This window comes from Homo sapiens, chromosome 2, assembly GCF_000001405.40.
Source record: "Homo sapiens chromosome 2, GRCh38.p14 Primary Assembly".
NCBI lineage: Eukaryota > Metazoa > Chordata > Mammalia > Primates > Hominidae > Homo > Homo sapiens.
The window spans coordinates 18,562,259-18,589,684 of NC_000002.12; the positions used below are offsets into that span (position 1 = coordinate 18,562,259).

General features: G+C 36.9%; 2 protein-coding genes, 1 long non-coding RNA gene and 1 pseudogene across 20 annotated transcripts in view; 1 reads left to right on the plus strand and 3 right to left on the minus strand.

Annotated features, from left to right (window-relative positions):
• NT5C1B-RDH14 (NT5C1B-RDH14 readthrough) overlaps window positions 1-27,311 on the minus strand; it is a 34,847-nt gene extending 7,536 nt beyond the window's left edge. Inside the window, exons 1-10 of one of the 2 annotated variants that reach the window (NM_001199104.2) lie at window positions 27,181-27,311; window positions 25,245-25,334; window positions 24,736-24,915; window positions 23,996-24,133; window positions 22,256-22,720; window positions 21,830-21,997; window positions 20,610-20,739; window positions 14,515-14,637; window positions 13,926-14,110; window positions 1,587-1,861 (exon numbers count right to left, since the gene is read on the minus strand). In NM_001199104.2, coding sequence (NP_001186033.1) covers window positions 1,587-1,861; window positions 13,926-14,110; window positions 14,515-14,637; window positions 20,610-20,739; window positions 21,830-21,997; window positions 22,256-22,720; window positions 23,996-24,133; window positions 24,736-24,915; window positions 25,245-25,334; window positions 27,181-27,210 — 1,784 coding nt within the window. In that variant the 5' untranslated portion in view covers window positions 27,211-27,311. Of the gene's footprint in view, window positions 1-1,586; window positions 1,862-13,925; window positions 14,111-14,514; window positions 14,638-20,609; window positions 20,740-21,829; window positions 21,998-22,255; window positions 22,721-23,989; window positions 24,134-24,735; window positions 24,916-25,244; window positions 25,335-27,180 lie in introns of both variants that reach the window. The other variant, NM_001199103.2, reaches the window with a different exon arrangement.
• LOC105373456 (uncharacterized) overlaps window positions 1-27,426 on the plus strand; it is a 529,181-nt gene that overhangs the window by 2,083 nt on the left and 499,672 nt on the right. For 6 of the 13 annotated variants that reach the window (XR_007086234.1, XR_001739304.3, XR_007086229.1 and 3 more), the window contains one exon: window positions 1,563-1,768. This is a non-coding gene — a long non-coding RNA (uncharacterized LOC105373456). Of the gene's footprint in view, window positions 1-1,531; window positions 1,769-24,000; window positions 27,423-27,426 lie in introns of those variants that run through there. The other 7 variants (XR_007086227.1, XR_001739311.2, XR_007086228.1 and 4 more) reach the window with 3 other exon arrangements.
• Window positions 613-27,311, minus strand: NT5C1B (5'-nucleotidase, cytosolic IB). 5 transcript variants are annotated; one of them, NM_001199086.2, is made up of 10 exons: window positions 27,181-27,311; window positions 25,245-25,334; window positions 24,736-24,864; window positions 23,996-24,133; window positions 22,256-22,720; window positions 21,830-21,997; window positions 20,610-20,739; window positions 14,515-14,637; window positions 13,926-14,110; window positions 613-1,861 (listed from the first exon to the last, which is right to left on the minus strand). In NM_001199086.2, exons 1-10 carry the CDS (start codon window positions 27,208-27,210, stop codon window positions 1,538-1,540), a joined length of 1,782 nt encoding a protein of 593 aa, NP_001186015.1. In that variant the 5' UTR covers window positions 27,211-27,311; the 3' UTR covers window positions 613-1,537. The 5 variants fall into 5 exon arrangements, with proteins under 5 accessions (NP_001186015.1, NP_001002006.1, NP_001186017.1 ...); NM_001002006.3 differs by having other exon boundaries at window positions 24,736-24,915; NM_001199088.2 differs by having other exon boundaries at window positions 23,990-24,133; window positions 24,736-24,915.
• On the minus strand, window positions 21,109-21,210 carry RNU6-1215P (RNA, U6 small nuclear 1215, pseudogene; annotated as a pseudogene).

A 27,426-nucleotide genomic window follows, 5' to 3' on the forward strand; every position in this document is an offset into this window, starting at 1 on the left:
ACTGAAGACAAACAGCCTTCTAGTATTGGCTGTTTGAGTTTGCACATTTGACTTCCTTGACCAGATTGTTAAGGTTTCAAGTTTCCTAGAGGATAGGATTGTGTCTGCGTACCTCTTGTGGTCTTTGCATGGGAGGACACCTACAAAATGGTAGGTACTCAGTGTCACATGTCACAACTGATATATTTTGGACTGGTTTACATAAAATTAGGGAGCATCAGAAGATGTGTTTCAGCTGTGGTCTTCTCTCATCTAGAGCCAGGGGTGGAATACATATGTACAGGTGGAGTAGAGATGAAGGTGGAGGTAGAGAGAGCAGGAGAGGGTAGGAGGAAAAGAGGAGGGAGGAATCCTTAGACCTGCAGTGTAACTGCTGTGTAGTTTATGCATGGAACTTAATGAAATGATTAATCTGTACCAGATGGGTCCAAAGGCCATGAAATTAATAACTCTATTTGGAAGGGAGGAAAGAGACCTCATTATAACTTATGAAGTAAGATTTGAATTTGAATCTAATTAGTCTTAACACTTATTAGCTCCATATCCTTAAACAAGCTGTCTAATCTTTTTGAATCTTAGGCTCCTCATTGATAAAAAGGAAGGTAATAATAATACTATGTCACAAACATTTAATTTGATAAGAAAATGAAGTAACATGTGAAAATAACCAGGTCACTGTGCCTAACATATGATATATTTAATGACCAACCAATTTTTGTTGAAAACAAAACAAAAATCATGAGAGAATGACAATGAAGGGCCAGGATACTACACTTCATGTCACTTTTTGAAGTGGTAGCGTAGGGTCTTTTTTTTTTTTTTCCATACAAATATGGATGTGCCAGCCTGCCAGGCCCAAAGCCGGAGACTTCAAATATGAAACTCTGTGGATCAGAGGCATTTAACCCACCAAATAATTTTCAGAGAACCTTTCTTAGGGGTTTCTGTTTAAGGCTTATCTTAGAAAGTACCCTGGAGGAACAACCAGATGATTTATTTCTAAATGAGCAGTATCAAAATTGTTATACTCATGCAGGTAGAGTGAAATTCTCATTTTGCTTTGGTTACAAAGCTAGCCATAGCAGTCACAGAATACAAAGCTCCAGTTTTCAAGAGTGTGCTTAACCATACTCCTTCTACCTTTGAAGACACTATTCTACAATGCTGATGGGTAACAATTCATTGTTATCTACAAACATCCAAAAATGAGCAGTGTTTATAAAACTAAGTAAGCTTCTAAAACAGTGCCTTAAGCATGCAAATATTCAAGTTCTAAACTTATCCTAAAGAGTCATCATTATGACTTACACAGAGATAGGTGTAATGGCATTCAACAGTATTGGTAGTTCAAAGAGAAGTAGTTTGATGGTAACTTGAGGGTTCAAAAGGTTTTCCAAAAAATCAGGAGAAAACCTTTCCAAAGAAGCAAAGTTTTAAGGTCCAATTTTCTGAAATACCTATCTAATTATCCTAGAGAGCCAAAAGAAGTGGCTTCTGTAACACCAGACTATCACCACTTTATTTCTCCTCCCTGCCCCTAACTACTGAATTTTTTATTAAAGCCATAAGCTGCGATGGAACCTAACCTCTGTGCCCCTTCAATGTGGAACATGTGGTCATCAAAGAAGATGTGGGGCCGGATCTTCACCAAGATGGGACTTTTGGGGGCTCCAGCAAGGAAAAGAGCTTCGTCTATCTCTAGACCCCAGCGTCGAAGGGTCTTCAGCACACGGGCGCCTGAACTGGCTGCACTCCTAGCTGTAACCAGGTAGGTCCTGATAGGACAAAGTAACCGTTCATTTTTGGCATAGAACTTCTTTTGCAGTCTGCCTAAATCTTCCAGAAAGCCTTTTAGGGGACCCTGTAAAAGGAACATATATCACAGCTGTGATACAGTGAGCCAAAGAAAGTGAATGCTAAAAAGCAGAGACCTATATGATACGATACAATACAAAGGATATAATACAGCATGACATGCAGTGTTATGAAGCTGATGGCAAAATGCTAAAACTTGATAGGAATTTATGTGAATATGTTTTCTGATATAGAACCATCCTTGCATTCCTGGAATGTGCCTAAAATGACCATATTATTTAACATGTAAACCTATATACTTTAGGTATGAAAGAATGTTCAATAAATACTTAAGCCAGGACAACAGACATAAACTATCCATGGTAAGCTGGAATAGAGGGTCACTCTAAATAAACTCTAATTAGTTACCAAAGCACTACTCTTTTAATTTGCTTTTTGTGAATTGTGCATTTTAACTTTATGAAGTATATGCTTTTGTCTAGTTTAATGCTGTTTGGCTTGAATCTAACTGTGTCTTTCATTTTTAACCTTTCCAAACACTTGGTTTTAGTATCTCTTGTACAGAGCCTAGAATTGGATTTTGCTATGTGATACAACCTGAAAATCTTATTTTTTAAAACAATAGTTAAGTTTTTGTTCATTTACATTTATTCATATTACAAACATACTTGAGATTGTTTCTGTCTTATGGTTTTTATTGCATTTTCCATGTTTTAAAATTTTTAAAGGATTGTTCAATAATCTGTGTCTTTCTTCTTTGTAGTTGTGTGTGGGTGGTTCTTCTGACATTTAAGAAGGTTTACATTATTTCCTTCTATAAATTACCTTTACAACTATAACCTTTTATAGTACCCTCAGTCCTCTATTTTAAAAAGAATCCCAGATCTATTATTCTTCATAATGAGAAATAATGAAAGCAGGGCATTTCTTCAATGTCTCTGTAGTCCTCTATTTCTTCTCCACCATCTAATTTTAGTCATTTATTTACTTTTCCTTGGTGTTTCTTTTGCATTATTACATTTTGTTTTATTTCTGTTTATCAAGTTTACATTTCATCCTTTGATTGGCTATTGTAACTGAAAATTCCAGCATACTTCTTCCGTAGACCTTCTTTCCCCATATTTTTCCATTTTTTGTTAGTTACATAATTTGTACATCATACAAATTTGTTCATTTGTACGGTTGTTTTAGTTTTAATTCTATGGTTAAGTATATTATATGACCATTTGTGCCTTTGTGCTTCTAGTCCTCTGCATGTTGGCCGAAATTTGTCCTGTAGTACTGATTTTCTCAAAAACATCTTATGGTAATAATCCCTGAGAATATAGTATATTCTCAACTATATATCTATTTCCTCTGTCCTTGAATAAACTTTTGGCTAGATATAGAATCCATGATTTACATATAAGATTCTCCACAAGATCTTATAAGTAGTGCTCCACTGTCTTTTGCTTTTGAATGCTGCTCTTGAGAAGTTTGAGGGCCTCTTGATTGCCATGCCACCTCTTCCATCACTTACATGAGTAGGCAGCCCAGATAATTATTTCTTCATTTTGAAGCCCAGTAATTTCACTAGGCCATGTCTCAGTGATGGTCATTTTGATTCTATACCTCTGTCATACAATATGGGCTTTTAATCTTTAATATTTTAATCATTTAATATATATAAACATCTTTGATAATTTAGCAGTTTTTAATTTATATTTTTACATTAATTTGCATCTTTATATTTAACATCAGTCCCCCTCCCCCAACATGATTTTAAAGTTTTTCTTCAGGGATTCTACTTAGGCATATGCTGGGTCTTCTTTACCTGTTATCTATTTCTGTCATTTTTCTATATGTAATTGTATTTTTAACAGTAACAGATGGGTAATAACTCTATTGGAAGGGACGAAAGATTTACAGCATTCTATAACTTTCACATTTTATCATGTCTTCCTTGACTATTGCATTTTTACTTTATGATCTTGCTTTAAGTCTTTAAAAGTCATGGCAAATGTTCAGTCATAATTATCTGTATTATGTCAACTTTTTCTTGTAAGAGCTCTTCATCTGTTATTAGATTTTTTTCTTTTTTAATCTGCCTTTTTCTCATAGTATCTTTGAATGTATTCAATGTCAGCTCTCTTTTTATTATTACTTATACTGAAGTAGACTGGTTTTTCTTGGGATAATTGGTGGGTTTCTAGGGGAAGGTCAAGGGTAGTATTTGGAGACTGACTTGTTTTCATGATTCAAAGGCTCCCTTCTTTGCTGTCATGGAAACAAACAGTTTTCTGTAAACATGACTTATTGTGTAACCATTTGCTTAAATTTTCTTTAAGGTTGTATATCTTAGAAAAAAACAAGTAAATTTGCTTTCTCACGGTAAGAGGCCATACATATAGGTGAAAAAACTGGGACTGTTTTTATGACAAAAGCAGAAAACTCATAGTGACTGTTGGCAGGAACCACCCTCATTGCAGTTAGTCTTTAAAACACAGAGGGGCACAGTTTCCCTTGCTGTTTTTGGATGATTTCCAAATGGAAGAAACAGAGAATGCTGAGTTATGTCACCACATTCAAACCAAGTACCCATCTCATTCTCTTTTACTTCTATATTGGGGTATGTTTTATAATTTATACATTTGCACAGTAGTACAGCATATAATTTATCAATAAAAATATAACAATACTAGGGAAGCTTACAAAAAGCAAATACTAGGGAGAGACTGTTACTCCCACCCTAATAACAAGAAAACTCCAATCTAAAAAATAACTTTTCTTGAGCCCATCAAAGAGCTGAGATTGCAGGGTAACCACCTAGCATGAAAACTAGGGAAAAACAGTCATCTTCAAGAAGACATGGAGTGCAAGAACTGTGTACTTTTGGTAGAGTGTTGAAGAAAGTTATACCAGCTTCCATACAAGCAAGTACAAGCAATTCAAGTAATTTCAAAAAGACATTGACAAAGAACTAGGGTCCACCAATGAGAGAGCATAGAAGCCCTAGGATCCACAGGCACAAGAAGTACACACTCTCTTTTAGGCTTTTCTCCATGGACTTCACTAGATGCTGATGACAAAGACTGCAGGCAGTGGGGTGATAGAATAAAGCCATCCTTGATGGTACAGGTGTGGAGGAGGGGAGCAGCTGCCACTGGGGGCAAAGACTAAAACTCCCCCTAGTTGCTTATACCCTCAGGAACAAAGAGCCTAGACTGCTAGAAGAGCTTCAAACACTGTTATCCTCCAGGGCATGAGTAAAGATCCACTGTTACAGAAGAAAACATTCTAACTTTGGGAGAATAAGAGACTATCAAGGATTGGTACCATTAGATATTGGCTATCACTGGGGCATGGCAAGATCCAGGATGTTCATCCCTAAGCCCTAGGAAGATAGAAGAAATAGCTGGGAAGGGGTAAGAATGAGGAGACCTTCTCTGCAGCAGACACACAGGGAAGGCCTGCTGCTGAAAGTCGACTAGAAATCTTGAGAAAAACCCTCTGGTAAGCCAGTTTGCACCCTAAGAACAAAGTTGATACCAGACAAACTTGGATCCTGTGGTGCCATGAAGATAACCATAGCAACCACAAAACCTAAAACAACTTTAATACCTGATTTGATTGATTCAATCTATCACAATAATTGCTAGTCCCACAGTAAAACAGAACAAAACAAAATGAACAATCTACTTTTAGGAGAAATTAAAAGAACTAGACTTAGTAATGACCCAAGTGTCACAAATATAACAGAGGGAATTGAAAATAACTGTGATTAATATCTTTAAATGTCTACTTTAAAGGTGGATACCATACATGAGTAGACTAGCAATTTTGGCAAAGAGATTGAAATGAAAAGAGTTGAATGGAACTATATAAAGAGTGCCTAATGGATGTGTCAGTAGACTCAACACAGCTGAAGAAATAATGAGTGAACTTGAAGACAGGTCAATAGAAATTGCCCAAACTGAAAAGAGAAAGAGAAAAAAAGAGTGGGGAAAAAAGAGCAGAGCATTGAAATGCTGTGGGACACACACACACACACACACACACACACACACACACACTCCCCTCTCATATTCAAACCAAAGGAAATATAGACAATTATGAAGGCAGCCAGACAAAAACAGACACATTACATACTAAGGACCAAAGATACAAAATTCATAACATTTGTCATCAAAATCTATACAAATGAGAAGACAATGGAAGAGCATCTTTAAAGTGCTGGGAGAAACACACAGTAAACCCAGAATACTACATTCAGTAAAAATAAAATATTGTTTTAAAAACTAAATAAGATTAAAACTTTTTAGGCAAAGAAAAACAGAGATTCAGTACCAGTAGATTTGTACGACATGAAATGTTAAACAAAACAAAATAAAACAAAAGATCTCCTGGCAGAAGGAATATGATAACAGAGAAAAACCTGATCTACACAAAGAAAGGAAGATCTCTGAAAATGATTAAAAGGAATTTGAATATGAAATACATATTTTTGCCTCATCCTTATTTACTAGACGGTATTTAATTGCCAAAAACAGAAATAGTAGTGGAAAAGAAAAATAAATGTTGCAGTCCCCAGGTCACTAAGCTAAAGGGAAAAGTCAAGCCTGTAACAGCTTAGAGACAACCTGCCTCCCATTCTATTCAAAGTCACCCCTATGCTCACTGAGATAACTACATATCTGATTGCCTCCTTTGGAGAGGCTAATCAGAAACTCAAACCCGCTTGGAGTCTTCCTACCTTTGCTTCAAGCTGTCCTGCCTTTCCAGACCGAACCAATGTTCATGTTACATATGTTGATTAATATCTCATATCTCCCTTAAATGAATAAAACCAAACTGTGCTCTGACCACCTTGGGCACATGTCGTCAGATCCTCCTGAGGCTGTGCCATGCATGCGTATCCTCAACCTTGTCAAAATAAACTTTCTAAATTAACTGAGACCTGTTTCAGATTTTTGAGGTTCACAGTAGCAAAGTATAGAGAGTTTATAGAATAGATAAAATAATATATGACAACTGTAGCACAAAACATGAGAGGCAGAGTTTGGCAGTTCGTTGTTGCAAGGTTCTTACAGTACATATGATGTTGTAGAGTATAACATTGACAATAGACTGTGATTACTTAAAGTTGTATATTGTAAACACTAGCGTAACTAATAAAAAATTTTAAATGAGTCATAAGCCAATAGTGGAGATAAAATGGAACGTAAAAACACACAATAAGTCTGTAAGTAAATAGGGGAAAAAAGAAAAGAAAAAGGGGACTAAGAACAGTTGGAACACAGAAAAAACATAGGAAGATAGTAGATTTTAATCCAACCAAAGCAATGATCACATTAAATTTAAATGTCCTAAAAACAGCAATTAAAACACAGGGATTGCCAGATTGTATAAAATAGCAGCACCAACTGTAATATCTATAAGAAAAATAAGTTAAATATAAACACAATTTAAATATAAAGACATAGATAAAAGTATAGAAAAATCATATCATACAAACATTAGCCCCCCCAAAAAAGCTGGAGTGATTATATGAGTATCAGATGAATATTACATAATGAAAAGATATTAATTAAGATTAAGACAATATAATAATCCTAAATATGTAGGCACCTAAAAACAGAGATTCAAAATACATGATACAAAACTGATAAAATTGAAAGGATAAATAGATAAATTCTCAAATATATTTGGAGATTTCAACATTGCCTTCTCAATAGTACATAAAGCAAGTAGACAGAAAATTACTGACAATATAGAAAACCCAAGCAATATGACCTGAATTAATTTACATAATCTGATTGACATTTATAGAATACTTAATGACAACAGAATATTCTTTTCAAATACACATGACATATTCATCAAGATAGACCATATTCTTGGCATAAAACATACCACAACAAATTTAAATAATTGAGATACAAAATATGTTTTCTAATCACAACACAACAGAGTTAAGCTTTGTTTCAACAATAGAAAGATATCTGAATAAACTCCAAATATATGATAATTAAATAACCTACTTCTAACCTATTTCCTTCAAAGAGGAAATTACAGAGAAATTTAAAAAATATATTTTGAATTAAATAAAAAAAAATCATCTATCAAAATTTGTGGGATGCAACTACAGCGGTGTTTAGAGGAAAATTTATAGCATTAAGTGCTTATATTAGAAAAGAAGAGAGGTTTCAAATTAACAGTCTCAGCTTCCACATTTGAAAACTTAGGAACAGCTGGCTCAGGAAAATTGATTTACTTCTGGCCAAACTGACCAAGAAAAACAACAACAAAAAAGAAAAGACACAAATTACTAGTATCAGAAATAAAAGTGGGGACACATCACTAAGGATCCTACAAATGTTAAAAACATATTAATAAAACACTCTAAGAGTTTATGTCCATAAATTCAGTTATTTAAATGAACAAATTCCTTGAAAAATGCAAGCTCATAAACAGAAGAAAAGAATGAGAAAAGGAAGAAAAAGAAAAATGGAAGTTCTATAGCTATCAAAATAATTGAATCAGTAGTTAAAAGCCTTCCAACAAAGAAAAAAGTCCAGACTCAGATGGCGTCTCTGAAAAATTCTACCAAACATTTTAAATAGTTTGTATCACATTTTATGAGGTTAGTACTACCCTGTTACTAAAGTCAGATTAAGATATTACAAGAGAAGAAAACTGTAGAGGATGAACATGAATACATAAATGAATAAATAATACAAAATATTAACAAATTGGATTCAGCGATATATGAAAAGGATAATACCACATGACCAACTTGAATTAATACCAACAATGCAAAGCTGCCTCAGCTTTTACAAATCCATTAATGTAATTTACATAACAACAGACTAAAGGGGAGAAACCACATGTTTTTTCTCAATAGATGCAAATCAGGCATTAGTCAAAATTCAACCTTCATTTATTATAAAAACTCCCAAACAGCTAGAAAGAGAAGGTAGCTCCCTCAACCTGACAAAAGGCATCTAGAAAAGATCAATGGATAACAGTTAAGAGTGAAAGATTGATGTCCCTCTAAGATCTGGGTATATGGCAAGGGTGTCCACCCTCATCACTGTTCTGAACATTGTACTGGATGTACTAGCAAGGTAAAAAGGCAAGAATGATAAATAACAGATATACAGCATGGAAACACAGAAATAAAACTGTCTTTAGTCACAGTCAACATTATTGTTGACTTAGAAAATCTCAATCTACAAAATTGTTGCGAGAACTAACAAGGAAATTGAACAAGGTTGCAGAATACAAAAACCAATTGTGATTCTATGTATTAGCAATAAATAATCGGACAGTAAGGATTTTTAAAGTACCATTTATGATAGTACCAAAATATTACAAAATGCATAGGTATAAATAAAAAAATGTAATATCTGTGTGCTAAAACCTACAAAAGACTAAAAAAAAAATTTAAATGATCTAAATAAATGAGGAGAGGAGAAATACCATGTCCATGGACAGAAAGACTTAATATTGTTAAGATATCTATTATCCCAAGATCTAGCTATAAATAAAATAAAAATAAAAAATTCTTGTAAAAATTTTTCCCCCAGAAATAAACTTCTTAAATCTATATGAAAGTGCAAGGGAATCAGACTGTACTCTCTCTCTCTTTCTCTCTGTGTGTGTGTATATATATATATATATATATATATATATATATATATATATATATATGTTAATTTTAACAAAGTTGAAGTATTCACACCACCTGGGCCTAAGAAATACTATAGCCAGGTGCAGTGGCTCATGCCTGTAATCCCAGCACTTTGGGAGGCTGAGGCGGGTCAGGAGTTTGAGACCAGCCTGGCCAATATGGTATTTTACTCTCTACTAAAAATACAAAAATTAACTGGGTGTGGTGGTGGGTGCCTATAGTCACAGCTACTCGGGCAGCTGAGGCAGGAGAATCTCTTGAACCCGGGAGGCGAAGGTTGCAGTGAGCCGAGATCATGCCATTGCATTCCAGACTGGGCGACAGAGCGAGACTCTGTCAAAAAAAAAAAAAAAAAAAAGAACTACTATAAAACTACAATAATCAAGACAATGTAATATTGATAAAGGGATGAATATCTGTATTAAAGGAACAAGGCAGAAAATCACCCTTTTCAACAAATAATGCTTGAACAATTAAGATATCCAGGAAATTAGGATAAGGAGGAAAAATGAACCACAACTTGTGCTTTGCACAAATACCATATTGACTCAAAATAGATGATAATCCTAAGTAAGAAACCTAAAACCATAAAATTTCTATATAAAAAGTCTGGAGATAATCCTTGTGGCCTTGGATTAGGCAAAGATTTCTTATATATGACATTAAAAGCACAATTTCTAAGAGAAAAAATTGATAAATCTGACTTCATCAAAATTATAAGTTTCTGCTCACTGAAAAGCACTGAAAGATGTTAGAATGAAAGACAAGCACAGGCTGAGAGAAGATATTTGTAAAACACACACCTGATAAAGGATGAGTATCCAAAACATATGAGGAACTCTCAGAAGTTGATAACAAACCAAAAACCCAATAAAATAAGGAAAATATTTGAACAGGTACTTCACCAAAGAAGATATGTGATGGAAAAAAGCACTGATAAGATGCTCAGTAACATTTGTCATTAAAGAAATGAAGCCAAAACTACAATGAGATAATTTTTTTATCAACACTAAAATTGCTTAAAGAAAGAAAGAAAAGAAAAATACTGAATACTACCAAAGGCCAGCAACAATGCAAAGCAACAAAACCATGCATTGCTTTTAGAAATGCAAAATGTTATGTCGTTTGGGAAAATAATTTTACTGTATCTCATCAAATAAAACATACACTATTTATCACATGACCTAGCAATTCCACTTCTAGGTATTTAAAAATGAAATGAAATCTTATATTTACACAGAAGTTTGTATTCAAATGTTTAAAAGTAGCTTCATTTATAAATGTCAAAGACTAGAAATGACCTACTCCTTCAACAGGTAAATGAATAAAGAAAATGTGGTACATCCACAGAATAGAATACTACTCAGCAATAAAAAGGAGCCAAGTACTGATACATGCAATGACATGCATTATGCTATGATAAATAAAAGAAGTCAGATTGCATCGTGTATGATTCCATTTATGTGACACCTGGAAAAGGCAAAACTATAGAAAAAGAAATCAGTGGTTGATGGGGTGTGGAGATAGGGTACTAGGATGACTACAAAGGGGCATGAGGGAATTTAGTGATTTAACGAAACTGTTGAGTATGTATTTTTATGTTAGTGGTTATTTCACAATTATATATATTTGTTAAAATGAAATTATCCACTTAAAATTATAAATTTTACTCTATATAAATATACCTCAAAAATTCTGATACACACACACACACACACAAACATACACACACACACTTAGAGACCATTATTCCAGAATGGTGAGACAAGAGATAGGGATCAAATCAGGAGATATCAGTTACTTGTCACTGTACTACATTGGAGATTGGAGGCTCATAAACTACATTCAGACTTGTTAAATTAATCCTCTCCAGCTGTCCCATTTGCTGGTGAGTTTCAGACCTCTTCCATTTGACAAAATTAAGATACTGTCATGACCAAACCAACACCCTACTAGCAACATACTTGAATGTCTTCAGTAGGAGTTGTACCTCATACATTCTTTCTCATCAGTGGAACACACCCAGCAAGGCCTTCTGGCCTTTATGGAAAATCATCTTTTTCATGTAAAAAAATGGCATGTTTTTTAAACTGGCAGAAGTACTGCATAATAAAGGAAAGCATGTATACTAGAAATGTGTTGAGTATTCCTGCAATAAGTAGGGTTGGGATTCACAATTTTAATTGTTTAATGGGAGAAAAAGGCAATTTAAGGAGCAAAATAAGTGAGAATACATAAAACTAGAAAGTTTCTGCAAAGCAAAGGAAACAACAGAGTGAAAAGGCACCCTATGGAATGGGAGAAAATATTTGCAAACTATACATCTGATAAGGGTTAATTTCCAAAATATGCAAGGAATTCTTACAACTCAACAGCAAAATAAAAACAAATTAAGCTGGTTAAAAATGGGCAAAGGACTTGAATAGACATTTCTCTAAAGAACACATACAAATGTCAATGGGTATATGAAAAGGTACTCAACACATTAATCATCAGAGAAATCCAAATAAAAACCACAATCCAATATCAAATTTTACCAGTCAAGATGGTTATTATAGAAGACAAAACAAAACAAAGATACCAAATGCTGGGGGAGTATGTAGAGAATGTGGAACCCTTATACACTGTGGGCAGAAATGTCAAATGGTATAGCCACTGTAGAAAACAGAATGGAAGTTTTTCCAAAAACTAAGAATAGAACAACTACCAAATGATTCAGTAATCCCACTGTTGAGTATATATCCAAAAGAAATGAAAGCAGGATCTGAAAGAGCTATGTAAACTGCAGCATTTACTACAGCATTATTCACAATGGCCAATATTTGGAAATAACCCAAATGTCCATCATCAGGGGAATGGATAGAGAAAATGTGGGATAAGACACAACATAATATTAGTCAGCCTTTAAAAAGAAGGAAATACTACCATTTGTAACAAAATGGATGAGACCTGGAAGATCTGCTAAGATGAATAAATTCTAGAGATCTGCTGTACAATGTAGCGCCTATAGTTAACAATATGGTATTGTACACTTAAAAACTTGTTAAGTGGATAGATCATATGCTAAGTATTCTTACCACAATACAAAAAAAATTTTAAAAGACAAGGAGAGTGCTGGATGTGTTTATTACCTTATTTGTAGTGACAGTATCATGAGTGTATGTATATGTCCAAATTCATCAAAATGTATACATTAAATATGTGCAACTTTTAAAAATTAAATATAACTCAATAAAGCTGAAAAAAAGAACAAAGTACAAAATGAGAAAAGAACTGAAAAATGTAAAATCTAAAAGAAATTTAGATTATTTACTTCAGATGGGAAAATACTACTTTAACATTTGTCTGGAAGTAATGCTTTCTTTGAAGTGTTTTTGTTTAAGTGTTCTTTTTATGGAGGATTTCCACATTTCAATAATGGTGAAAGGCTCTGAATTTCAGCAGAGTAGACTGATATAAAATATAACAAAGAATTTTCTTAATAGTAAGCTTTGTTAATACAGAACTTTATAACACTAGGTCAGGGTTTCCAAAGGAGCTATTTAGAAAGAGAATATGAAGTTGAACACACACTCCCATAGTTTAAATATTGCTTGCTTTAATGAGAGGTGACTAAGTAGAAAAACTTTTCAACTTTCAATTAGTCTATTCATACTTTTATGAATTTATATAAAAATAACAATATTTAAGTTTAACTTAAGTTCAGGAAGAACTGAGAAAAAGAACAATTAAATTTCTTGGGAAAATTGATAGAATAAAATTAAAAGACCTATCAGTTTAGATTCAGATTAAGTGACATTTTGATTTCAGATTTCCTTTTGTTCAAAAGTTATAGGTTCTGTTCATTTTCGACCTTGATTTTAACACTTCAGTTCATGGATGGATTGAAAGGTACTCAACAGCACTAATCCAAAACAATCTAAATATTTAGTTTCAGTTTGATTACATATTCATAATTTGCACTTGTTTGAGGATCATTATTTGATTCAAGTTCTTAGTTGTGCATATTTTCTCAATTAAGCGATGCCTTTCTTGAGTTTGAAGTCAAGGACAGAGATTCAACAAATGCTTACTCTAATCTATTGGAAATGACCCTACTATTTTGAGAATTTATTATGTAGAAATGGCTTATTGATAAGCAGTATTTCCTGTTACTCCCAATTGGGAGAGGGCAGACTTCTTATCATGGGAAGATCATGCAAGTATTTCCAAAAGGATAGATAAAATAATGTGAAAATTAAAAATAAAGTTGTCAGCAGTGAATGCATCAAAGTGAGCCATTCATGAAAGAAAGAGAGAAAGCTCCAAAGATAAGACAGTAAGAAGGAGTGCCCTGCCTAGAATAACTTAAACATTCATCAGAATGGACCAATATTGATATTTATATATTAGAAAATAAATAAGTACATAAAAATTAATTAGCACTCATTGAACCTACCTGAGCAAGAGGCTTACTTTCACATAATGTATCATACTGGAAGAATTTGTCGAGCCCATGCTCCTTGGTAAAATGTTCAGACTCATCAGAGAAGAGGACAGCATCCCCATCAAAGGCTACACGGAGCTGAGTGTCACAGTAAGCCATGTCTTTGGCTCCATCAAACATTGTCGCAGAGGCAATACCTGATAGATCATGGAGACTGATTAATACTCTTCTCAGGTCCATGAGTTATAGTTTCTACCATTAAAAAAAACAAATTCTCCCAGACCTTATGTTTTCTCTCTAGCTATTACCTGATGGCTCAACTCCTCTTCACAACCACAGACCTCAGAACAGTTGTCTATGCACTGCCTCTGTTTCTATAGGGATGGAACATGTGAAATGGATTGTAGGACAATTACTGAGGATGTCCATTTCCAGGAAAGTCAAAGCTCTAAAGGACAGACTTAAGTGTTGCCCCATGTGGAAAAACTTCAGAAGAATATCCAACAAGACCATAAGCCTCATAATCATATGCGAAACTTAATGTAAGTCACCATTAGTGTAAACCTCTTTATTAACTAGAGGAATAAAATCAGACTAATACCTTCTTGTATTGCCTCTTGCACTTTTTCAGAATCTGCAGCAATATACAAGTTGGTAAGATATGCCTTCAAATAGCCAATGGGGTCTTTTCCCCCGGTCAGACAGAAGCGGTCAATCAGTAAGCCTATTATCAGGCAAGAAAGACTTTGTTATGACAGAGATTAAAGACAAAATGCCGTAAATCCAAGTAAAAGTTACCTTAGAGATAACTGAGTTTATTTGTAAATTCAACTGGCTTTATTTGTGAACCTAAAGGAAAGTTACCTTAGAAATAAACTTTAAAAATCATCTTATGGTACCAATATTTAAAATTCCTCAACTATTTTATGTAATAGTGGTTGTATTTGGTACATTACAGTTTATGGGCATAGTATATTCACATAGATCATGCCATTTTATTCTCACAAACATACTGAAGGTATTATTATCTTCATTACAGGAAAGGAAAGTTAGACATAAAGACTTATCTAACACACTGATTTAGATGCATAGAGCAGACTTGAGCCCAAGTGTTTGACTCTTGTCTGGGCTAGAACAGGGTACTTTTTCTTGAACTACAGCCTCCTCACTAACTGTAAAGGTCTATTAAGATGTGGCTCTCGAGATCGCGCCACTGCACTCCAGCCTGGTGAAAGAGCAAGACTCTGTCTCAAAAAAAAAAAAAAAAAAAAAAAGGCTCTATCTCAAAACCATACAATTACATGGAAAGTAAACAACCAACCTGCTCCTGAATGACTTTTGGGTAAACAATGAAATTAAGGCAGAAATCAAGAAATTATTTGAAGCTAATGATAATAAAGATACAACATACCAGAATCTCTGGGACATAGCTAAAACACTGTTAAGAGGGGAGTTTATAGCACGAAACACCTTCATTGAAAGTTAGAAAGATCACAAATTAACAACATAACATCACACCTAGAGAAACTAGAAAAAAAAAAGAAAGAAAAAAACTAACCTTAGAGCTAACAGAAGAAATAACCATAATCAGAGCTGAACTGAATGAAATTGAGATGGGAAAAAATATACAAAAGATCAAAAAACCAAAAGTTTGTTATTTGAAAGAACAAATAAGATTGATAGACTGCTAGCTAGACTAACAAAGAAAAACAGAGAGAAAAATCCAAATAAACACAATCAGAAATGACACAAGTGACATTACTACCAACCCCACAGAAATAGTAAAACAAAACAAAAACCCCTCAGAGATTGTTACAGACACCTCTATGCATAGAAACTAGAAAACCTAGAAGAAATAGATAAATTCCTAGAAAAATATAACCTCCCAAGATTGAACCAGGAAGAAACTGAAACCCTGAACTGACCAATAACAAGTTTCTAAATTGAATCAGTAATAAAAAGCCTATCAACCATAAACAGCCCTGGACCAGATGGATCCTCAGCCAAATTTTACCAGACATATAAGAAGAACTGGTATGAATCCTACTGAAACTATTGTAAAAATTATGGAGGAGAGACTCCTCCCTGACTCATTTTATTAGGTCAACATAACTCTGATACCAAAACCTGGCAGAGACACAGAAAAAAGAAAACTTCAGGCCAATATCCCTGATGAACACAGATGCAAAAGTCCTCAACAAAATACTACCAAACCCAATCCAGCAGCACATCAAAAAGCTAGTCTACTGTGATCAAGTAGGCTTTATTCCTAGGATGCATAGTTGGTTCAACATACACAAATCAATAAATGTGATTCATCAAATAAAAGTAAAAAGAACTAAAAGTTCTTAAACTTTTAGTTCAGAACTAAAAGTAAAAACTATATGATAATCTCAATAGATGCAAAAAAGGCTGTCAATAAAATTTAACATCCTTTCATGTTAATCCCCTCCCCAAAAAAACCCTCAGCATCAAAGGAACATACTTCAAAATAATAAGAGCCATCTATGACAAACCCAGAGCCAACATCATACTGAGTGGGCAAAAGCTAGAAGAACTGCAATCAGACAAGGATGCCCACTCTCACCATTTGTATTCAACATAGTCCTTGAAGTCCTAGCCAGAGCAGTCAGGCAAGAGAATGACAAAAGACATTAAAATAGAAAGAGAGGAAATCAGATTATCTCTACTGGAAGATGATATGATTTTTCACCTAGAAAATGCCATAGTTTCTGCCCCAAAGTTCCTAGCTCTGATAATAACTTCAGCAGTTTCAGGATACAAAATTAATATGCAAAATCAGTAGCATTTCTATATACCAACAATGTTCAAGCTAAAAGCCAAATCAAGAATGCAATCCCATTTGCAATCACCACACACAAAAATAAAATACCTAGGAATACAGCTATCCATGGAGGTGAAAAATCTCTACAAGGATTACAAAACACTGCGGAAAAAAAATCAAAGACAGCACAAACAAATGGAAAAACATCCCATGATCATGAATAGGAAGAATCAATTTTGTTAAAATGGCCATACTGCCCAAAGCAATTTACAGATTCAATGCTATTCCTATCAAACTACCAATGACATTTTTCACAGAATTAGAAAAAACTATTTGGAAATTCACATGGAATCAAAAAAGAGCTGGAATAGCCAAAGCAAAACTTAGCAAAAAGAACAAAGCTGGAAGTATTATATAACCAAACTTCAAACTATACTACAAAGATACAATAACTAAAACAGCATGGTGCCGGTATAAAAACAGACACATAGACCAATGGAACAGGTTAGAAAACCCAGAAATAAAGCCACACACCTACAACCATCTGATCTTCAACCAAGTCAAGAAAAACATGCAATGGGGAAAGGACTCTGTATTCAATAAATGGTGCTGGGATAACTGGCTAGCTATATGCCAAAGATTGAAATGGGACCCCTTTCTTTCACCAGATACAAAAATTAACTCAAGATGGATTAAAGACTTAAACATAAAACTCAAAGCCCAAGCCCTAGAGGAAAACCTAGGAAATACCATTCTGGACAGGCTTTGGCAAAGATTTCATGATGAAGACACCAAAAGCAATTGCAACAACAAGAAAAAATTGACAAATGGGAGCTAATTAAACTAAAGAGCTTCTGCATAGCAAAAGAAACTATCAACAGAGTAAACAGACAGCCTATAAAATGGAAGAAAATATTTTCAAACTATGCATTTAACAAAGGTCAAAAATCCAGAATTTGTGAGGTATTTAAACAGATTAACAAGCAGAAACAAACCTCATTAAAAACTGGGCAAATGACATGAATAGACACTTCTCAAAAGAAGACATACATGCAGCCAACAAGCGTATGAAAAAAATGCTTAACCTCACTAATCATTAGAGAAAATCAAATCAAAACCACAATGAGATTATCATCTCATACCGGTCAGAATGGCTATTATTAAAAAGTTAAAAAATGACCTGCTGGTGAGGTTGTGGTTAAAAACGAACACTTATATGCTGCTTTTGGGGGTGTAAAATAGTTCAGCTGGTGTGGAAAGCAGATTGCAGATTTCTCAACGAATTTTAAACAGAATTATCATTTGACCCAGCAATCCCATTGCTGGGTATATACCCAGAGGAATATAAATTGTTCTACCATAAGAATATATGCATGGCAGGGCATGGTGGCTCACGCCTGTAATCCCAGCAGTTTGGGAGGCCAAGGCGGGCAGATCATCTGAGGTCGGGAGTTTGAGACTGGCCAGATCAACATGGAGAAACCCTGTCTCTACTAAAAAAATACAAAATTAGTCGGGCGTGGTGGCACATGCCTGTAATCCCAGCTACTCGGGAGGCTGAGGCAGGAGAATCACTTGAACCTGGGAGGCAGAGGTTGCCATGAGCCGAGATAGCACTATTGCACTCCAGCCTGGGCAACAAGAGCAAAATTCCGTCTCAAAAAAAACAAAAAGAATATATGCACACATATCTTCATTGCAGGACCATTCACAATAGCAAAGACATGTAATCAACCTAAATGCCCATTGATGATAGACTGGATAAACAAAATGTAGTGCATATATACCATGGAACACAACCATAAAAAAGAATGAGATCATCTTTTTTGAAGCAACATGGATGGAGCTGGAGGCTATTATCCTAAGTGAATTAATGCAGCAACAGAAAACCAGATACCACATGTTCTCACTTATAAGTGGGAGCTAAACATTGAGTACACATGGACACAAAGAAGGGAGCAATAGACATAGGGCCTACTTGAGGGTGGAGGGTGGGAGGCGGATGAGGATTGAAAAACTACCTATTGGGTAATACGCTTATTACCTAGGTAATGAAGTAATCTCTACACCAAACCCTCATGACATGTGATTTAGCCATATAACAGTGAATTATCATCATTCAACATTAATATAACATCAAATGCTTTTTTAAATCAGTAACAATTACAAAAAAACACTGGCTGTTTGTAAGAGGTTTATAAAATATGCACCTTCATATACTACGGGTAAAAGTGTACATTGGTACAAGCTGTCTAGAAAGTGATTTGATGATATGCAATATGTATCAAGAGCTTTTAACAGGTTTGTACCTTTTGACCTAAGATTCCTTTTTTTTAAAAAAAGGAATATTCTGAAATTCTGATAACGATTTCTACAGAAAGGTCTCAGTTTAGGGTTATTTATAAAAGCAAAACATGTTCAACAATGTGACAGTAGTTATATAAAGTATAGGATTATTCATATGATAAAATATTCAGAGGTTTTTTTTTTAGATATATGATAAACTGGGTAGCTGCACATGATATAAAGCAGAATACTGTGTCTAGTTAGTTGTTTGTCATCTGTATGGACCAAGAGAGTAGGTCAGGTCCATTAACTGTCTTGGTGGAAGTATCTGCTTTGGTATTAGAAAATGCTCTCATTTTTTCACTTATGTCAATATTGGGCATATGTGGCACAAAAGTGTATTCTACAAATCCCTAAATCATATGAATTTCATCACCCAGAAATTATTTGGTGACACTGAGACTCCAGAAATGATTAAAGCATCATCCCTCTTCTTAAGGAGATCACAGTTCACTGAGGAGCCTGGCATGTAAAACATTTGTTATAATAAAGACCCTGGCAGACGGAGATACGAATTGCTTTCAGTACCCAGAGAAGGAAGTAACTAACTCTTCTGGGTCAAAAGATTTTTATTCCATGAACAAGGCTGCATGAGAAGGTTGTACACAATCAGTTCATCAGCAGAATTAACAGGTGAATAACTGATTTCTTATGCTTCCAGCCTTGATAGGTCAGCGTGGTGAGGGATAGATAGACCTCAATCACCTACTAAATCAATTAAGGCTATGTGTTGTTAAATACTAGCTGTTGTTTACTAGATGATTGCTATATGCCACTCATCTATGTTAAATTTTTATGTTCTCTCTTTTTACTTCATAACACTATGAAGACTGCACTTTTAAAAGGCAAAAAAATTTAAAATGTGCTTCAATGATTCCAGCCTTATAGTTAGAATAATATAAAGTAAAACTCATAACTTATATCTCGATTATTTGTAAATATGCCCAATTTAAATGTTATTTTAACTTCACATACCCATTTAGAAAATAGGCTAATTGTGCCCGAAATAATTCAGGTAGTTCCATAATAGGAAAAGTTGGAACTTTCTCTTAAAGTCCCCAACACACTGATAGAAACACTGAAGAGACTAGAATCAATCAAATTTTCTATGTAAATTATTTTATGTGTGGGGAGAGAGAGCAGCCGGGGACAATCAGATTTTAAGAGTGGAAAGGAGAGGTGAAAACCTTTAAACCTTTAACACAAATCTGTGGTGAGCAAGAAGTTTGATCACACAGTAAAAGCCTTTGGGTTGACGGCTTCTTGAAGTCAAGTTCAGAAGTGAAAAACATACAACAGAGAAATATATTGCAGGACCTAGGATTAAGACTTTGAAATTCACACTTGACAAGTTAAGTCCAGAGCTTTGAGCCCAACTCTGTGCTGAAGTTAAAAATGAACATGGCCTCTCTTGTTCTGACATAGGCAAATAAACATTCCTGGCGCAGAAGGGGGTGTCAGTATCAAAGACACTGCATTTGGTTAAGCCACAGTTAGCAAAATAACATGGCTTCTCTCTTTCAGAGCGGAGAGCTGGTCTTCCACATGGTATTTATTTTACTTACCGTAGTGATTGACGCTGTTTATAAGCCGCACTCCCACTTGGGCATGGTTATTAGTCATCAGTACAATATCAAATAAGTCCTGTTCATCAGGATATAGATCACGGAGTCTAGCATTGACATACTGTAGTGCCTGCAGGTTACAAACATGAATGTGTGTAAAGAGGGGCAGGCAGGGTGGATCTGGGGAGGCCGGAGAGGAAGCATCTCATCAGAGTCAAATTCAAGCTCTGAAGAATCTTCACTGAGAGATTCTGGCTCCTTTAAGGAAGATTTATCCCATGCATTTCTGTATTATCAACCTCTCATTCATAGGAACTCAGTTAATGTTCACAATACATGAGTAATGTTTGTTGAAAATTGTTTCCACTTTGGGTTCACTAGAATTATCTCTGGGGGACAGGTAGAGAGTAGGGTCAGGCTAACCCTTTTATGCTTTGTCTATGTTTGATTTTTAAAATCTGCTTTTATCGATCATCTAATGATTGTTTTTTTTATTTTGAAAAATATGGACTGCTTCATGAATCTGCATGTCATCTTGCCCAGAGGTCATGCAAATCGTCTCTCTTTTGTTCCAATTTTAGTATATATTCTGTCAGAGTACTTTATGTATTAACATGTATCCTGCCCATGCTTTTACTGTGTCTCATAAGTACATTCTACCAACAACTTGTAGAGGTGTCATTTGTTTTTGCATGGTTATGATGTTATTGTGTAATATTTATATAAGCAGATCAAAGTTGTAAGTGCTATACATTTCAGTGTAAGTTCAGAGAACCTTACCTTCTCTATTAAAGTCACACTCCTAAGTGCCAAGGGCATCTTTATTTTCTTAATATGCTATGTTTGGGGCCAGAAGAGCTAACGTGAATTTCATTTCACTGTAATATGGCGTTTTATTTCTACTACTCAGGATCATAAACTCATTATGGCTTCTTAGCACTCCTTCGAGGGAGAGAGGTTTCTGTTACAAGTCTCATGATTAGGACTTCACTTAGGGAAGACTAACATACCAAATCTAGGGCTGTGGGCTGGAGTCCCTTCCTCCACAGTCTGGAAGCCTGTGCGAAATCATAAACTGACCTGGGTCAGCTAGAAGGAGACAAGAATGACAAGGGTGGGCTAGGAATGATCTGGGAAATTGGATGCCCTCCCAAGGGTTGGCCTGGGTCCCTCCCTCGCCATCGAGTGTCCTGGCGGGCCAAAGACAGCTTGCAGAATACCTTGACGAAGCGGAACGCCGGGCCCGGGGTCAGGATGACGTTCTCATTGGTGAGCTGATACTCCATGTACTTTTCCAGACCCTCTTGCTCGTAGATTTTCCTGCCGTCCACCATGTTGAAGAGCGCGCAGGATGAGAGAGCAATGGTGATGGCGTTCTTGGGTTTGGGCTGCAGAGAGGGACGCCAAAGGGAGGATAGTCACATAGCCACGAAGAGGACAGGGTTGGGGCTCCTCCAGGGTAGGGTGAGAGTAGGACAGCGGGCCCCTGCTTGGAGAAGCGGGATGCTGGAGACAGCTGAGGCTGGGACTCCCCGAAGTTTGGGGAGGAGAAGCGGGAGGACCTCCCTGCGCAGTGGAGAGGAGGGCGGCTGGAAGAGGCTGCAAGGAAGGGCGCCCCGGCTGCCAGGGGCGGCGGGCTGGCTCACCGGCCAGGGGCGCGAGCAGCTCGGGTTCTTCTCGTAGAACGACCTCATGGATGCCCAGTAGGCAGCCTCGTAGTCGTCCTCGTCCTCCCGCTGCTGCTGCTGCTGCTCGGACAGAGAGTTGCGGTCCAGCTGGGTGGAGGCGGGGTAGATCCCCCTGCGCTGGCTGGAGGACTTCCACTCGGTGGGGGACGTGCGCGAATATTCCAGCGGCTGCGAGTCCCGGGTCTGGCGGATTTCCCGCACGATGCCTTGGGCCCAGGCCTCCGGATTCTCTTGCATTTTGGTGCTGCGCCGGGAGCCAGGATCGGGCTCTGGGGGCGTGGGAGGCCGCGAGTCCAGCGACCGGGGCAGCTGGGGCGACGCGGGTGGCTGGAGCGAGGGCTGCCCGGACAGCGGCGGCGGTGAGGAGTCATGCAGGCTTGGGGAGGTGGATGGAGTCCGGGAGCTCGTGGAGCTGCTGGGGAGCTGCAGCAAGACAATGGGCGTCTGAAGTCGAGGCCTGCCTGCCCATCTCCGGTCAAGGATCTGTCCCTTCTGCCTATTCCATTCCTAGACCTTTGATGGGTGCTGGTTCATCTCAGCTCCTTAAGTAGGGCTTAAGGGACTCGGACATTTCTAGGCCTCAGCTGTTTGATATTTCTGTTAAACAGACACAGAGACTGTCTGCTTTCATTCTCCCCTAGCTTCCCCATAAGCATTTCACACGTTTTTATTTGTTTGGAGTAGATAGGACCCAGTCCTCTTCCTCCCCCTTAGGCAGCTGACACATGGTTTGCAAAGTTCTGTCCCCTGCTTGGCATATACCTACTCAGTCAGAGGCCTGCAGGTAGGACAGAGGGCATGCAGAATGGATCTTGCTTGGCCAGTGCCTTAGTGTGCGACTTCCAGTTAACTCCATGAGCAAAGTGGGCCAGACATTCTCACCAGAACACTCTACATAGCACCTCAGGGCATGTCTCTCCCCGCTCCCCATGTGAATGATGTAGTGATGGCTGGGAAAGTCTCTTGTCTGGAGACTGGAGCATCTCCCCAGGGCCTTCAGAGCTCCTTGTGCCGGTGAAGCACAGTTACATAGAATCATCTTCCCAAATAGGGAAGGGCCATTCTAGAGAAAAAACTCCTTTACTAAGGTGAGCAAGAAGTTATTAGGTATCCATATATGATTTCAGATTGTTTCACACATGACTCAAAAAAGCATGTTTTTGTTTAGATGATTGAGTCAAATCCGATAGAGATGATGAATTAGGTAGGAATGCATGCTTTCCCAGTGGCTGGGTCTGGGTCATTCGCTCTGCTTCCAAAATCTTAATCTCAAAACTAACTTTTTTTTTTAATTGCTTATGTGGTCAGGCCTAATTAAAAACTCAAAGCCCCACACAATCTGACACTCTTTTTCTCTGGTGGTGACTATTTCCTTCCCTCTTCTGAGAATCACAGTTAATTACTATTTGTTGAATGAAGGAAGGAAGGAGGAAGTGTGCAGCCTCTAGATCTGGAGCCCCTGGGTTTTAATGCTAGCTCTACCACTTATTAATGTGAAACCTTAAACAAGTTCCCTCTGTACTTCAGGTTTCTCAGTGGCAAAATGGGATTTACGGGCAGAAGGGAGTTCTCCCAAGGGCTAAATTAGCTAACACATGTAAAGCACATAAACAGGGCCTGGCACGTAGAAAGCATCAATAAATGTTAACCATTGTTATTATTCTATCATCTACTACTCCCTTTCATCTTTACCTCTACCTTAGCACTGGTGTTCCTGCTTCTAGGCTCATCTATGGATGGAGCCTTGGTGGATGGGCTCCGGGATATTCTAGACCATTGACTGCGCACAAGGTACCCTCGAGAGTCTGTCTTCCGCAGTGATGATTCTTGTGATCCCTGTGATGGAAAGAAGAAACCCAACGGTGTAAAACCCCATCACCAACTCCTTCTATACGTGTGCCTGCAGAATAGTCATGTCAGGCTGAATATAGCAGCACCCAGTGAGAAGATCCCTGGCCTCAATGACTCTTAACTCAACCTGAACTCTTCTGTACTATTCTAACTCTGGTCTAGTCCTCACTTCTGTTTGGAGCATCTATGTGGGGGTCCACTTGAAAGAGCATCCAAAACCAAGATGCAAACATATTTTTTCACTGTGACTCCTCTTATGTGGATATTAGTATGGTTCACCATTGTTCCTCCCTTTTCCTCACTTCTTCCCTCGAGGATAAGCCTGTTAACAGATGCTGAAACAATATATCCACCATTTTTTACCAGACTGTAAAGGTGAGGGCAACTGGTGCCCCACTGAGGTTGCAGGGGGACTCTAAGGCAGCTGCTGAAAAGGAATGGAGCCCTCAAGCTTTTCTTTTAGGAGAAACAAGAATGAAGGACCCCCCGGAACAGCAAAGTAAAAGAGTTTCTATTTGCCATATTCTTCCCCTCACCCAGGTTGTCTGTGGTTCCCCTCCAGAATCGGTAGTGTGATCTCTGCTCACCCTCATCATGGTGATCTGCTGGCCCTGCTCCCACAACAGGCACATGTGAATATAAATACGTATTGTGTGGCAGGGGCCAAGGGCTGTTCCCTCAGCTGCACAAAGGCAGCGTCTACACGACGAGTGACCCTGGAAGGGGCAACATCTCAGCGAGTGATTCGGATTGACTGCACGCCTCATCTGAAAGATTGTGCAGAAAGTGGTCAATGCCATGGCCAGACCCCCTCCCCTCCCTGATTTGAACAAAGACCAGTCTCCCCCCTGTGTAGGCTGAGCAGAGGAGCCTGCTGTGGTTCCACACATTCGAAGTGAACACTAGGGTATGGATGGAGGGGAAGGCAGGGCCCAACCTTTCCTAGTTCCTTAACCTTCTCATGAGGACATTAGGGACGCCTTAATACAATTCTCAACAGCTTGGTCTTCTCTCCCAGAACTCCCTGCCCCCTAACATTTTCCATTATGCTTTCTGCTCCTTAATTTCCTCACCTCTGCTACAGAGATCAGCTCACCTGATTGCTCAGACGAACTCCTGTTTTGTCAGATTCCTTTCTTTTTTCTGCTTCTAGACTCTCTTTTGAGGACCTCATTCCAGGCTCATTCTTGACAAGGAAACAAAGAATGTTTATTAATTTTTAATCTCAGGGCATTAGGAACTTTGGCTTTCAGAATAAAAGGATAAAGAAAACACAAAATTTATTTATTTGCCAATATAAAAAGGTATAAACTCTAGACCTTAGTTTCCCCTGTTCTAACAAGCATGAGTAAAAGGTAACACATATTTTATTAAAAAGAATTATATAAACAAGTTTTAATATAGAAATTTGTTGGTTCATAGATTTGAGATATAAAGCATTTATTGTTTAAAGACTGATAACATGGGAAATATTAGAGAATTGTGAAGTTGTTTATGTAGAATAAGTTTGTTTTTTTTTCTATTACTCTGAAGATTGCTACTTATGGAACTTACTTTTCCTTGCCATTTAGAATTCAATTTTTTCTTGTTTTCATCATCACTACAGCTCAAACTTTTTGTGGCTCTAGCCTCACCAATATTAGTTTGATTTCTAAATATAAGGACCTTAATCTCATACAAATTTATTGAAAGTCATGTCTTCTGTTCCTATCATTTAATTACTCATAGATCTAGAGTGGAAAGGGATTTCTTACCAACAAATTAACAACAGATAGGGAAAACCAAGTAAAAGAGCACAAGAAGATGACTCACTTTATGGAACTCTACTCAAATATTTATGTTTTCATTTTCATTTGGAGGAGATACTTATTGGAATATTATTTGAACTGTTTCATGCTAAGTAAGTAGCTGCAATGTGATCAAGATTAGTGTTATTTATATGTTTAAGGAGCACAACTTCTAAGTTAGACCAAGATCCACTAGAGCAGTCTATATTCATCCGTTTATGCTCTGTGTCTTGCATGCAGGAAAAATCTCATCAATGTTAGTTGCATGAGAATGTTAGTTGCATGAGAGAATGGCATAGCTGTATGACTCCTGAACTAATTTTAAAATCTTTTCATCAACCCTCACTCACCTTATACACATACATAGCAGTCACCATAATACCTCTTACTTCTAATTCCAAATGATATTTTGAATCCAGTTCCTTTTTTCTATCTCTATTATCATTGCCTTGTTCCAGGTCTCTGACCATCCTGGGACTACATTTTCAGAATATAGCCTTTCAAACAGGTTTCATGGCCTTAAATCCTCTCCACTTCTAGATCTGTCCACCGTATTTATTTAGAGTAATATTTACAAGATGTAAATCTAGTAATGCTTCATTCCTGGATAAACACTTTCTTCACTTGGTTTGACCAGGAGCCTCATGATGTTTTCCTGTGTACCTGCTACTTGCATGCCCTTCACTCTATACTTTATCACTATGTTCTACTAATACCAAGTGACTTGTATTTGCCTGCATACACCAGCCTTATTTCCTTATGGTCTCCTCTTCTCTCCTGTGTTCTTCGAAACCCAGCTCAGTGTGACCTGGGGGAAGTTCCCAGAGTGAAATATTGCCCTGTGTTCCTTGTGTCTTTTGTACATACTTTTATGGAGCAATGAGTTGTCCTTTGTCTATTGTCTTTCCTACTAGGCCATGCATTCTTCAAAGACAGCCACTGTTTTTACCTTTTACTACTAACATATGAGTATATGCTAAATGAATACTGACTTATTGGAATCATTTATATACTACACGTTTTTTAATCTCTTTCTTTGCTGTCTTAATTTCTTTTAAATTTCTCCTTCTTCCCTTTTCTGTACTCTTTCCATTGCCTTTATTCTCTCCCTTCTCTTTTCCTCTACCTGAAGCCATTATCTGAAATTATTTGATCATTGCAGAGCCTTTGCAGAGGCAAATGATGGACTGATATCCACATTTCTTCAGCCCCATGGCAAGATTCTAAGACACTCGGTTCACTCACCTTTTTCTGTTTGAGAGATGTTTGACTCATTTTTTTACCTGTTGAAATTCTTTTGTTGTTATCCACATTTTTGTCTCCCCAGCTCCATTTCCTGTCACTTCCCTTGCTCAGTCTAGCTTTGCATTTAGAATGTCAAATTTATGACATCATATGTGATTCCATAGTAACAAACTGACTCTATGAATATGTGATTAACCTTTTCTTAAAAAACAAAAAATAAATGTTTCTTCATTTTGAGTGTATCTG